The sequence below is a fragment of the Homo sapiens genome, chromosome 16 (genome assembly GCF_000001405.40).
Source record: "Homo sapiens chromosome 16, GRCh38.p14 Primary Assembly".
Lineage (NCBI taxonomy): Eukaryota > Metazoa > Chordata > Mammalia > Primates > Hominidae > Homo > Homo sapiens.
The window spans coordinates 490,162-503,115 of NC_000016.10; the positions used below are offsets into that span (position 1 = coordinate 490,162).

Sequence of the window (12,954 nt, forward strand, 5' to 3'; positions counted from 1 at the left end):
CTTTTCACCTTTCTTTACTTGAGCTTCCAAATGGTTTCCCACAGCATGTGGGTCCCAGCGCCCGCGATGAGGCTGCCTTTGCTCCTTTGCCTTCGCGTCGCAGACGCAGCACCCCTGCCAGTGGCCCAGAAGCCCTTGGAGGTGAAGTCACAGGGAGGTTAGCTAGCACCACCACAAAATCTAACACTGAGTTTCGACAGGTCGGTCTTTTTGGGGGTTTTTTGAGACAGGATCTCACTTTATTGCCCAGGCTGGAGTGGTGCAATCATGGCTCACTGCAGCCTCCACCTCCCTCAGCTTCCTGAGTAGCTGGGACTACAGGTATGAGCTACTACGCCGGGCTAATTTTGTATTTTTTGTAGAGACGGGTTCACCATGTTGCCCAGGCTGGTCTCAAACGCCTGAGCTCAAGCGATCCACCCAAAGTGCTGGAATTAGAAGCAGGAGCCACCATGCCCGGCTTTAACGCACATCTTAAAAAATCACAAAACTATTGTAGATTTATCATTCATGCATAGTTTTTGCTAGAGGTGGTTTTTGGAGTAATCATAAATATAGTACAGTAAGTACAAGTTTACCCGGAGACATGGTTCGCTATCACATTGATGTGTTTTTGGCAAAAGAGAAAGCAGTATGGTTTTTTACCTTCTTGTTAAAGAAGGGCTTTTGCTTTGCAAGGAGGCTCTCAGGCTGCCCCTGCTTTCTTCTGGGCACCCGACCCAGAGGAGCAGGTGTGTGCAGGGCCCCCTGAGGCTCGAGCTGGTGCCTGTCCTGGGCTCCTGGAGGCAGCTGAGGGATGTGGGCTCACTGCGGTCTAAAGGCAAGAGCCAGAACATTGCACAGCTCATTCTCTCTCCACGTGCTTTTGTTCCACACCATGTCCTGTCCTGTTCCCCTCGGCCCCTCGTGCGGAGTCACAGATGACCACACGGGTCCTCATCCTCTCCTGAACGGATGCTTCTGTCTCTCTAGCACTGACCCTCTTGCCGCAAAGCTGCACAGCATCCTCACTGATGAGGCGTTTGAGTTTTACTGTAGCCAGTGCCACAAACAAATCAACCGCCTTGAGGATCTTTCTGCCCGCCTGAGTGATCTTGAAATGAATAGGTAACTGACCAGCGCCTGGCCTTGCTGTCTGTTCCCAGGGTGTGGGGGACTCCGGATACCCACAGCCCCCTTGAGGGCCTGCCCCGAGGCGACCAGGAGCCTCTCAGGCAGCGGGACTCTCCCTGGGGCCCCGCCTCCCACCCTGCACGCTGTGGGGCCACCAGGGCCCTGCCTCCTCCCCTGCATGCGCAGCCCAGGCCAGTGCTTGTCTTGGTGGGAGGAAGTGATCGGTCTTTGCAAGCTGTGCTGTCTGTCCTGTGTGTGAAAGAGGATACTTTCTGCATTTTACTAAAAGATTTCTTTCATTGAGCTCATGAGACAGAATTGGGAAAGTTAAAGATTTAGTCTTTAAGAACAGATATGTAAACAGCTTTCAGGATTGTCAGTTTAAATGGAGTTTTGAATACTCACAGTGAGCGTGTGAGGGAGCTCACTGTGTCTCAGCAGGGGAGCTCTTGTGGCTGGCCCTCATGTCTAACTCCCAGTTACAGAAGACGGTTTTGAGTGCTTTGCACATATTGACGTGCCCGTTGGGCATCGTGTTGATTTCGCTTGCGGTGAAGCCCCTGGGTGGGCAGCTCTCCAGAAGGGTCTGGTGAAGAAACGGGCCACTTTGGAGCTTTCCACAGCAGCCCTAGCCTAGCAGAAGAGGTGAGTGAGCATACAGGCTCATGCTGGCAATCTGGGACGGCTTCCTGAAGAACGGGACCTGGCCTGTGGGGAGGGTTTGTAAAGGTGGCAGAAAGGTGAGTTATCCTGACGGTTCTAGCATGTTTAGAGGTATCTGTGAAACTGCTTACCTGTCTTGAGCCTGCCCTGTCCCTGCCCCAGGGGGCTTCTGCCGAGGCACATCCTTGCTGGCGGGCGCTCACTGCCCACGGCCTTATTGAGGCTTCTGTCCTGCCTCTAGTTCCATTTCCAGGGCACTTAACTCTTCTTATGTTCTGTGAAATGCTGTGAAGCACAGGGCCCCCAGCCAGTGCCCATTCAGGTGGAGAGGATGGGGGTGGGGCCCGGCACTGATGGCCATTCTGGAGCATCGGGGGTCTTGGCAGCACTGGTGAGAAAGCAGAAGTGCTCTTTGAAGAGGGTCTTCCCGGGAGACCCGAGGCCGCCCAGAGCCCTCCCCGGGAGACCCGAGGCCGCCCAGGGCCCTCCCCGGGAGACCCGAGGCCGCCCAGGGCCCTTCCCGGGGAGACCCGAGGCCGCCCAGGGCCCTCCCGGGAGACCCGAGGCCGCCCAGGGCCCTCCCGGGAGACCCGAGGCCGTCCAGAATCTTGGATTCCAAAGATCCGCTAACCTCTGTTTTAGGGGAAATCAGTTTCTGCCTGCGTGTGTGTTCAGCTAGGGGTTCAAGGCCCGGCGACGATGGCTCAGCCTGCTTGGGGAGGGGCCATTTGTTCTTCCCACGCAGAGACTTGCCCTCCCACTCACCGATAAGTTGAGTGCAAGCATGTCATCTCCGTACATGAAAGTAAGCCTGAAGACTCAGGTCTCGTCTCTCATTTTCTGAAGATTTTTGACATAGAACTGATTTTTTCCCACATTGAGAACTAGCTCCAAGATGGCCATGGTCGCCTCTGCTGGGCTTTGTGGGGGCAGAGAAGGGACTAGGATGTAGCTAAGTACAACTAGCAAGTCCTGTGGAGCCTCACGTCCAGGTTCTGCTACCCCTTTTCCTAAGACTCTATGAAGCGGGCCAGGCGCAGTGACTCACGCCTGTAATCTCAGCATTTTGGGAGGCTGAGGAGGCAGGCAGATCACTTGAGGCCAGGAGTTTGAGACCAGCCTGGCCAACATGGCGAAACCCTGTCTCTACTAAAAACATAAAAATTAGCCAGGCATGGTGGCACATGCCTGTAGTTCCAGCTACTTGGGAGGCTGAGATGGGAGGTTCACTTGAACCCAGGAGGTGGAGGCTGTGGTGAGCCAACATCCTGCCACTGCACTCCAGCCTGGGCAACAGAGCCAAACTCTGACTCCAAAAAAAAAAAAAAAAAAAAGACTCTACCAAGTGGTTAATATGCTATTCAATTCAACACAATCAGGACACACAACTGCCAGTCAGAACATCCTCCCCATAACCCTTAGTGGAGGAGATCTGAATCTTGCGTTTTAGTTTCCATGGACTTGCCTGAAAGTAAGCTTATTTGGTCATGCTTTGTGGGTGGCAACAGGTGACTTAGTCCAGACCACCTCTGGAAGCTTTGATGTCAGATACGATGTCCAGTCGCCTCAGAACAGGCCAATAGCTGTTGCATTTTCCAGGTACCCTGCAGCCTCTAAATACATTTCATTTTGTAGGAACTAAGAAGTGTGCCTTACCTGGAGGTATATTTTCTTTTTTCTTTTTTTTGAGACAGAGTCTCGCTTTGTGACCCAGGCCGGAGTGCAGTGGTGCGATCTCGGCTCACTGCAACCTCTGCCTCCCGGGTTCACTCCATTCTCCTGCCTCAGCCTCCCGAGTAGCTGGGACTACAGGCGCCCATCACCACACCTGGCTAACTTTTGTATTTTTAGTAGACACGGGGTTTCACCATGTCTCAATCTCCGGACCTCGTGATCCGCCCGCCTTGACCCCCCAAAGTGCTGGGATTACAGGCTGAGCCACTGCACCCAGCCTGCCTGGAGGTATATTATCTTTTTCTTTTTTGAGACAGAGTCTCGATCTGTCACCCAGGCTGGAGTGCGGTGGTGCGATCTCGGCTCACTGCAACCTCTGCCTCCCGGGTTCACTCCATTCTCCTGCCTCAGCCTCCCGAGTAGCTGGGACTACAGGCGCCCATCACCACACCTGGCTAACTTTTGTATTTTTAGTAGACACAGGGTTTCACCATGTCTCAATCTCCGGACCTCGTGATCCGCCCGCCTCGGCCTCCCAAAGTGCTGGGATTACAGGTGTGAGCCACCGCACCTGGCCACCTGGAGGTGTATTTTCAATTATAAATCCTGTTGCTGGGCTGCCAGTCCAGGCCCTGAAAGGTCAGTAGGTAAACTGAACGATGAGTCTGTCCTGTCCTATTAGTTCTAGGGAGTCTCAACAATAATAAGATAAAATTAAATTTGTATTAAGGCTGGGTGCGGTGGCTCATGCCCGTAATCCCAGCACTTTGCGAGGCTGAGGTGGGCAGATCACGAGGTCAGGAGATCGAGACCATCCTGGCTAACACGGTGAAACCCCATCTCTACTAAAAATATAAAAAATTAGCCGGGCGTGGTGGCGGGCGCCTGTAGTCCCAGCTACTCGGGAGGCTGAGGCCGGAGAATGGCGTGAACCCGGGAGGTGGAACTTGCAGTGAGCCGAGATCATGCCACTGCACTCCAGCCTGGGTGACACAGTGAGACTCCATCTTAAAAAAAAAAACCTGTATTAAAATATACATTATTAGTCTCCAGTCGAGAAAGGAGAGCCACACAGTAATTTGAACAGGGACAGTTTAATACTACAAAGAATGGGCTGAGTGTGGGCTGAAATCGCAGTGCTTTGGGAGGCTGAGGTGGGAGGATCACATGAGCCGGGGAGGTCGAGGCTGCAGAGGTGGGAGGATCACATGAGCCTGGGAGGTCGAGGCTGCAGAGGTGGGAGGATCACATGAGCCGGGGAGGTCGAGGCTGCAGAGGTGGGAGGATCACATGAGCCGGGGAGGTCGAGGCTGCTGAGGTGGGAGGATCACATGAGCCGGGGAGGTCGAGGCTGCTGAGGTGGGAGGATCACATGAGCCGGGGAGGTCGAGGCTGCAGAGGTGGGAGGATCACATGAGCCGGGGAGGTCGAGGCTGCAGCGAGCTGTGGTTGCACCACTGCACTTCAGCCTGGGCCACAGAGTCATACCTTGCCTCTAAGAAAAGATAATGCAAACAAACAAACAAAAAATTTAAAAAATCATTAGGGAAAGGAAAAGAATGTCACAGGCTATGGGAGTAATGAGGCACTGGTTGGGATGAGTAAAAAGAACTCTGCAGAGTGTAGGGACAGCAGGCACAGGAGCAGCCGCCACCCAGGGCCGGGGCAGAGCCCCCCAGCTACAGTCACTGCCACCCAGGGCTGAGGTCTGCACCAGCTGCAAACGGCGTGGTGGGGACACCACCGTGCTGTCAGGGCTTGTGGGGAACCTGCCTCCTGGCTGCCAGGAAAGCTATTCTGTTGCAGGACACTTGGCAGAGGCACCCCTAGAGAACAGCTACCCGAATGGGGTCGGGGAAGCCCCTGGCTCTGGCTACAGTGGGCAGGATGCTCCCTGGAGTAGGTACTGGGGAGACTGCAGGTGTCGGAGGGCCCTGCAGAGAGTGGTCAGAACCAGGAGGCAAACCTCTTCCTGCTGTGTTCACTCCTCGGCTCCCTCTGCTGATGACACGCAGCATTGTGGAGGAAGAGCCTGCTAAGGGCCCAGCTCTGTTTCTACAGGGCAAGTAAAAAGGATGGACTTAGAGCTGAGGGGCTCTACGTTAATACCTGGCACAGCAGCTGATTCTCCTCCAGTAGATTTCTTTTTTTCTTTGAGACAGAGTTTCACTCTTTGTTGCCCAGGCTGGAGTGCAGTGGCGTGATCTCGGCTGACTGCAACCTCTGCCTCCCGGGTTCAAGCGAGTCTCCTGTCCCAGCCTCCCGAGTAGCTGGGATTACAGGCATGCGCCACCATTCCCGGTTATTTTTGAATTTTTAGTAGAGACAGGGTTTCTCCACGTTGGCCAGGCTGGTCTCGAACTCCCGACCTCTGGAGATCCACCCGCCTCAGCCTCCCAAAGTGCTCAGATTGTAGGCATGAGCCACCACGCCCGGCCCCTCCAGTAGACTTTTCTGCCTGACCCTGGAAAGAAAATCAGAGGTGTTTTTGAGACAGGTAAGCTGAAGAGAGACGTGGCTTTGTGAGTTCCAGGACCGTGATGGTTCCCAGGCCCCAGGGGTGAGGGTGTCTTCCTGCAGGCTGAGGCTAATAGTTCAGCAGCTAGACTGTAAAATACAACTTTGGACCTCAGAAATGAGGGAGAAGGTAAGTTTGGCCCATGTGCCACTGCAGATGGTTAAATCAGACAGCTGATGTATAATTGGCTATATTTACTGCCCTGAAATGGCAACGGGAAAGGTTTCCAAACTGATGCCTAGGCAGGCGTTCTGAGCATGATGCATCAGTGCCTGAGTCGAAGCCAGCGGCAAACTCTCCTGTCACAGCGGGGCCTGGGTCACTTTTCACTTGGGGGCCTCCGAAGGCCAAGCGTTTGGGGGTAATTTGGCTTCAGAAGCATTGGGACAGTGCAGCCAGCGGGTGGGACCAGGTGTGGCGCTGGCCTCTCAGTCGTGGTCTGGGGTGGCTGCATCTGGAAGCCTCTTTGGGGGCTGGAGTAACGAGACGTATGCGGCCTCACCCCAGCACTGCCGTGTCCTTGCTGTTTTGCTGAGTGAGCATTTGTGCATGGACTTGCCTGGGGGGCCCTGCATGCCGGGAGCATTGCTGAAAGGCCGCCCACCTCGTATCTCCACAGCCTGAGTTTCCTGCTTCCTCCTGCTCCTCTCTGTCTGTTCTAACAATTTTCCTGTTTATTTTGTTTTCTGCACAGTCCGACAAAGCGGCTCTCCAGCAAGAAGGTGGCAAGGTAGGTGGGTCTCTGGTTCCTGCTGAAAAACGTTCTGAAGTGGATAATTAATCATAGTTTTTTAAAAAACATTTTAAAATGTTCTTTTCCAAGGTATTTTTTAAACTCTTGCAAGTTACTTTACATGGTTTGGGGCTGAAGGTATCCTGAAGGAGTGTTGGGAAAGGGGTTTCCAGGGCTGTGAATTTGGACCTGGATTTGTGACCAGGGAGGGTACGTGTCAGAGCTTTTGGTGCTGGGCCTCTTGTGTGTTCACTAAGGTCTGGAAGGGGCCGCCATCCCCAGATGTCTGCTCTATGTTAGCTCTGAGGTAGCGAGACCCAGTGAGGAGCCTGGCTTCTCAGAGCCGGGTCTGGGCAGCTCCCCAAGGTGAGTCGAAGGTGAGGGATGGGTCTGACTCCAATTCCTAAAGACCATTTCTTCATTTTCCAGCTTCGTATAGATCTGTTGGCTTCCTGCTGTGAAAGATGGCAACATACACTTTTATCTTCCTCCCCTGCCAGTTCTTACCGAAATAAACATGCAGGGTTAAGGCCCTTCCCAGGGAGCCACTCAGTGTGGCTGCCGGGTGGCCTCTGCTGCCGTCAGAGTCTGCCTTTGTGTCTTTATCTGCTTTGCCTTCCTAGTCCCCGTCCTGCTTCGTGGCCCGGCATCTGGCAGGGCTGGGAGACGCCTCTCCAGCTTCCTCTGGAGCATCCCCTCTGGAGCCTCCTCTCTGCCCTGTTGTGCCGGGCGTTCTCCAGGCCTCGTGGCTGTGGTCCTGGACAGGTCTCCCCACACTGGTGGGTTCCTTTGTTTCGGGGGTTGGATCCTCTAGCTCCCTGGCCCCGTCTTCCTTCTCATTTGTTTTCTCTGGTTTTTGTCCAGCGTATCTTCCTGTAGCTTCTTGAGAAAAGAGGTGCTCAGGAGATAAACTTGAGCTTGGGTTGGTTTGTACTGTGAGAGTGGGATCATTTTCCTGTAAGATTTTTGACGGCATTGCTTATCTTCTAGAGCTAAAGTTGTTACCATGAAGTTTAACCTTTCTGACTCGGTTTCTTTGGGACCAGCCTGAGCAACTTAGTGAAACCCTGTCTCTACAAAAAAAAAAAAAAAATTAAAAATTAAAAATTAAAAAAAAAAAAGGAAAATAGGCAAGGTCTAGCTGCGTTGCCCAGGCTGTAGTGCAGTGAGTGGCAATTCATAGGTGCAAGCATAGCTCACAACAGCCCCAGACTCCCTGGGCTTAAGTAATCTTTCCACCTCAGCCTCCCAAAATTCTCGGATTACAGAGGTAAGCCACCACACCCAGCCAAGAACAGAAACCTTTTGTTTTCCATTTTCTTTTATTTTGAGACATTGTCTTGCTCTGTCACCTGGGCTGAAGTACCGTGGTGCAATCACAGCTCACTGCAGCCTGGACCTCTCAGGCTCACTCCATCCTCCCACCTCCTCCTCCTGAGGACCTGGGACTACAGGTGCGCATTGCCAATGCCTGGCTAGTCTTTTAATTTTTAATAGAGATGGAGTTTCACTACGTTGCCCAGACTGATCTTGAGCTCCTGGGCTGAAGGGATCCTCCCACCTTGGCCTCCCAAAGTACTGGGATCACAGGCATGAGCCGTCACACCTGGCCATGGATGAAAACTTTTTTCTTTTTGTTTCTCTTCTCTTTTCTTGGCTTTCTTTTCTTTTTGAGACAGTCTTGCTCTGTCTTGCTCTGTGAAGTGACATCATCACAGCTCTCAATAGTTTTCACTTCCCAGACCTCCCAAGCTCAAATGATCCTCCCTCCTCAGCCTCCCGAGCAGCTGAGACCACAGGCGCATGCCACCATACCCAGATGATTTTTTAATTTTTTGTAGAGACAGGCCCAGACTGGTCTTGAACTCCTGGGCTCTAGCAGTCCTCCCACCTCGGTCTCCCAGAATGTTGGAATTACAGGCAGGAGCCACCGCGTCCCACTTGTTTTCCATTTTCTGTCATTTTAGGGGCTAGGGGCTAGGGGCTAGAGGAAGCAGAGGTGAACGTCATCATGCATCTTTTTCTAACTGTCTTCTTGCTCACCCCTTTCAGAAAAGCATTGAGCTGGCCGGGCGTAGTAGGTCACGCCTGTAATCCCAGCACTTTGGGAGGCTGAGGTGGGTGGATCACCTGAGGTTGGGAGTTCAAGACCAGCCTGGCCAAAATGGAGAAACCCCATCTCTACTAAAAAAATACAAGATTAGCCAGGTGTGTTAGCAGGTGCCTGTAATCCCAGCTACTCAGGAGACTGAGGCAGGAGAATCACCTGAACCCTGGAGGCGGAGCTTGGAGTGAGCCGAGATTGTGCCATTGTACTCCAGCCTGGGCAACAAGAGCGAGACTCCATCTCAAAAAAAGAAAGAAAAAGAGAAGCATTGAGCTCTTAGGAACGTGACGTGCATCCCCAGCTACACTTCTGTTACCACTTCAGCATCACCTTCCTCCCCGCTTCATCAAGTCTTTTACTCCAGACAGGCTGCAGCTGGTGACATGAAAGACCGGTCAAGGCCAGCTAAGGCATCTGCTTGAGGCCTCCCGTGCCTAGGATGGGGCGCAGCCTGCAGTTGGCTGTCACAGCCTTGTGTCAGAAACACCCTTTAAAATTTAATGTTTCCTTCACGGGTACCCTTTGGCATAAAAAAAGCCCAATCTGAGCCGGACGCAGTGGCTCACGCCTGTAATCCCAGCACATTGGGAAGCCAAGGTGGGTGGATCACGAGGTCAGGAGTTCAAGAACAGCCTGACCAACATGGTGAAACCCCGTCTCTACTAAAAATACAAAAATTAGTTAGGCATGGTGGCACACATGCCTGTAATCCCAGCTACTCAGGAGCCTGAGGTAGGAGAACTGCTTGAACCCAGAAGGCAGAGGTTACAGTGAGCCCAGATCACGCCACTGCACTCTAGCCTGGGCGACAGAGCAAGACTGTCTCAAAAAAAAAAAAAAAAAAAAAAGCTCCATCTGCAGTTATCTGTCGTTAGAGTTTACAAAACAGAGACCTCTTCTGCAGTGTGTCTATCCACATGTAAATATATGTACACAAGATTTAATCTGTTGTTTTGCCCCAAATCTGCCACAAGAGGCTAAGGAAGAGCAAAATAAACGTCGCGATTCGCTTCTCACAGTTCTCAGCCCTTCGCGCTGAACTATTGCTGAGATGGTGGGTTTTGCCAGCAGCCATTGTAGCCCCCGGGCCTGGCTGCATTGCTCACCTCCCTCAGCCTTGTTCTGTCCCTGTCCATGAGATGGAAGTGGCTTTCTCCAGTCAGCTGTGTGTGCAGAGACCGGGGGCTCCGGGCAGAGCCGAGTCCATCAGGACTGGAGGAAGTGCTCACAGCAGGCAGGCTCCCTGGGCCCTGGGTGGGAGGCCTCAGGGATCCCCGTACCTCCTTGCTCACCAGCCAGGCTCGACCTACTGCCCTGTGGGGCAGGTCAGGCTTTTTCCACAGCTCCCTCTCTGGGAGGAGGGTCCTTCCAAGTGAGGGTGTGGTGTAGCTGGAGAATCCCTCTTTCTAGGGGATTTAAATAAGCAGCCCCAGCCGGACGCGGTGGTTCACGCCTGTACTCCCAGCACTTTGGGGGGCCGAGGCGCACAGATCACGAGGTCAGGAGTTTGAGACCAGCCTGGCCAACATAGTGAAACCCCATCTCTACTAAAAAAAACAATACAAAAAGTTAGCTGGGCATGGTGGCAGGTGCCTGTAATCCCAGCTACCTGGGAGGCTGAGGCAGGAGAATGGCTTGAACCCGGAAGGCAGAGGTTGCAGTGAGCTGAGATTGCACCACTGCACTCCAGCCCAGGTGACAGTGCAAGACTCTGTCGCAAAAAAAAAAAAAAAAAAAAAAAAAAAAATTAAATAAGTAAATAAATAAGCAGCCGCATGACCCATGCTGAGGACCCTCTGCCTCACGTTGGTGGCCACGTGTGGTGGCTGCACGCTGGGTGCCTGGGGATGGCTGTGTCCCCGAGTCAGCCCCAGAAGTGCCTACGCCTCTAGGACAGCTCAGAAGTGCTGACAGGTCGTGGCCTCTCAGGATGGGCTCTGGGTTGCAGCTTCATGCCTGGAGTGGCTCATGTTTGGGGGCAAGGTCATGGGCGTTTAAGAGCAGCGACTGGCCAAGAACATGATCTGTATCAGCAGCAGCTTTTGAGAATCTGATGAAATCCCCAGAGCCCCAGAAGGGCACCGGTGTGTTCCAGCTGGTGCACGTTCACAGGGCTTGTCTCCTCAGAGCGTTTATGGGGAAAAAGATGGAAATGTTCAAGCCCAGTCCGTACTGAGAAGCAAATCGAACTTCATACACTTGGTAGACATTTTCAGTGGAAAAATATTAACATTTTATGGAATTCTTACTCTGCTACGTCCCTAGCCAAGCTGTTTGTATGCATGACCTTGGTTAAACCTCAGTTGCCTCTAGACCCCCATTTCATAGGCAAGGAAGCTGGGAGAGGGTCCCCCCATTTCATAGGCAAGGAAACTCGGAGAGGGTCCCCCCATTTCATAGGCAAGGAAGCTCGGAGAGGGTCTCCCATTTCATAGGCAAGGAAGCTGGGAGAGGGTCCCCCCATTTCATAGGCAAGGAAGCTCGGAGAGGATCCCCCCATTTCATAGGCAAGGAAGCTGGGAGAGGGTCCCCCCATTTCATAGGCAAGGAAGCTCGGAGAGGGTCCCCCATTTCACAGGCAAGGAAGCTGGGAGAGGGTCCCCCATTTCATAGGCAAGGAAGCTGGGAGAGGGTCCCCCCATTTCACAGGCAAGGAAGCTGGGAGAGGGTCCCCCCATTTCACAGACAAGTTCAGAGAGGCTCCCCCCATTTCATAGGCAGGGAAGCTGGGAGAGGGTCCCCCCATTTCACAGACAAGTTCGGAGAAGGTCCCCCATTTCATAGGCAAGGAAGCTGGGAGAGGGTCCCCCCATTTCACAGGCAAGGAAGTTCAGAGAGGGTCCCCCCATTTCACAGACAAGGAAGTTCGGAGAGGATCCCCCATTTCATAGGCAAGGAAGCTGGGAGATGGTCCCCCCATTTTATAGGCAAGGAGTCTGGGAGAGTGTCCCCCCATTTCATAGGCAAGGAGGCTGGGAGAGGGTCCCCCCATTTCATAGGCAAGGAGGCTGGGAGAGGGTCCCCCCATTTCATAGGCAAGGAAGCTCGGAGAGGGCCAGTGCTTTTTAACGGTCACGCAGTTCTGAGCATCAGGCTGTCAGCCTGGAGCCTGGCTTGGTACTGAGGTTCCCAGGATGTATAAAGAACTGAACACGCACCTTTGCTGTTGGCTCTTCTGTGCGAGTGCTCTGAGAGTTTTCTGTACTCCCGGCAAGTTTGGGTTGGTACAGATTCACCACAGCGAATCTGACCACGTGGTGACCACAAGCACGCGCTTACTGCGCGCCTAAGTTCACACTCCCTGGAGAAGCTCCTGCCCCAAGGCCGCAGCCTATGGGCCTTTGCGTCTACTCAGGACCATGAGGCTGTGTCCCCGAGCCTGGCCCGGGTAGTAACTGGCATGGCCTGCGGTGCTGGGGGCGTGTCCACAGGAGCTGGTGCCACAGAGGACACGTGTGTCTGCTGTCTTCCTGGACTCGGTCGGACCAGTTTCCCAGTGTGTCCGTGAGGGTGACACTGAGTGAGACTTCTGGGATCCACACCTTTCCTGGGACCCTCACTCTTCCTGCCACAGAAAGCACCTGTGAAAGTCTGAGATCAAGAATGTGCACAGGGGAGGTGTCTGCAGGTCAAGGTCCTGAGCTGATGTCTCACAGGCCTCTGGTAGAGACGAGATTGTTCGTGTCTCTGCGAAGAAGGGCATGTTTTATTGCAGCCAAGTACAAAGTCCTCTCTGCCACTCGCTGGCTGGGACTGAGGTCATGTTCTGTCAGGTTCCAAAGAGCGCCAGGAAGACTCTGAGACCACAGAGCACGGCCTGCTTTCTCCCAGCCCCTGGTAAAGATGTCCAGCCTGGGACCTCCCCCTGTATATAGTGCTTTAAGTGGGAGAAGACCACCACCCAGATCAGGGGAGGACCTGTCCCCTGCAATGCTGCTGCCTGCTTTTCAGATTGACTTGGGAGTGCTTGTGCTGACGGAGCATGTCCTGTGGTTTTTCCCTTTCTTCCCTCTGTTGTTGTGCCTTTTCTGTAGGTACCTGCACCAGTCAGGGGCCCTGACCATGGAGGCCCTGGAGGACCCTTCCCCCGAGCTCATGGAGGGCCCAGAGGAGGACATTGCTGACAAGGTAGGCCCTGGAGGGCTG

General features: G+C 53.4%; 1 protein-coding gene and 1 long non-coding RNA gene across 12 annotated transcripts in view, besides 3 other annotated features; one reads left to right on the forward strand and one right to left on the reverse strand.

Annotated features, from left to right (window-relative positions):
- The window catches only part of RAB11FIP3 (RAB11 family interacting protein 3), a 97,363-nt gene that overhangs the window by 64,513 nt on the left and 19,896 nt on the right, over positions 1-12,954 (forward strand). For 7 of the 11 annotated variants that reach the window (NM_001370401.1, XM_017023907.2, XM_011522765.3 and 4 more), the window contains 3 exons: positions 973-1,107; positions 6,663-6,698; positions 12,843-12,936. In NM_001370401.1, the coding sequence (NP_001357330.1) occupies positions 973-1,107; positions 6,663-6,698; positions 12,843-12,936 (265 nt within the window). Of the gene's footprint in view, positions 1-972; positions 1,108-6,662; positions 6,699-7,130; positions 9,827-12,842; positions 12,937-12,954 lie in introns of those variants that run through there. The other 4 variants (NM_014700.4, NM_001142272.2, XM_005255717.4 and 1 more) reach the window with 3 other exon arrangements.
- On the reverse strand, positions 1,212-3,379 carry LOC107987417 (uncharacterized). Its single transcript, XR_007064933.1, has 3 exons — positions 2,408-3,379; positions 1,908-2,164; positions 1,212-1,821 (listed from the first exon to the last, which is right to left on the reverse strand). It is a non-coding gene; the product is annotated as an uncharacterized LOC107987417 (long non-coding RNA).
- Positions 2,142-2,763: an enhancer, noted in NCBI's record as "H3K27ac-H3K4me1 hESC enhancer chr16:542303-542924 (GRCh37/hg19 assembly coordinates)". NCBI's record gives its function as "activates a minimal SCP1, AML or CMV promoter by ChIP-STARR-seq in naive H9 embryonic stem cells {active_cell/tissue: H9 hESC(naive)}" and the evidence as "EXISTENCE:reporter gene assay evidence [ECO:0000049][PMID:30033119]".
- Positions 4,222-4,800: an enhancer, noted in NCBI's record as "H3K27ac-H3K4me1 hESC enhancer chr16:544383-544961 (GRCh37/hg19 assembly coordinates)". NCBI's record gives its function as "activates a minimal SCP1, AML or CMV promoter by ChIP-STARR-seq in naive H9 embryonic stem cells {active_cell/tissue: H9 hESC(naive)}" and the evidence as "EXISTENCE:reporter gene assay evidence [ECO:0000049][PMID:30033119]".
- Positions 4,801-5,378: an enhancer, noted in NCBI's record as "H3K27ac-H3K4me1 hESC enhancer chr16:544962-545539 (GRCh37/hg19 assembly coordinates)". NCBI's record gives its function as "activates a minimal SCP1, AML or CMV promoter by ChIP-STARR-seq in naive H9 embryonic stem cells {active_cell/tissue: H9 hESC(naive)}" and the evidence as "EXISTENCE:reporter gene assay evidence [ECO:0000049][PMID:30033119]".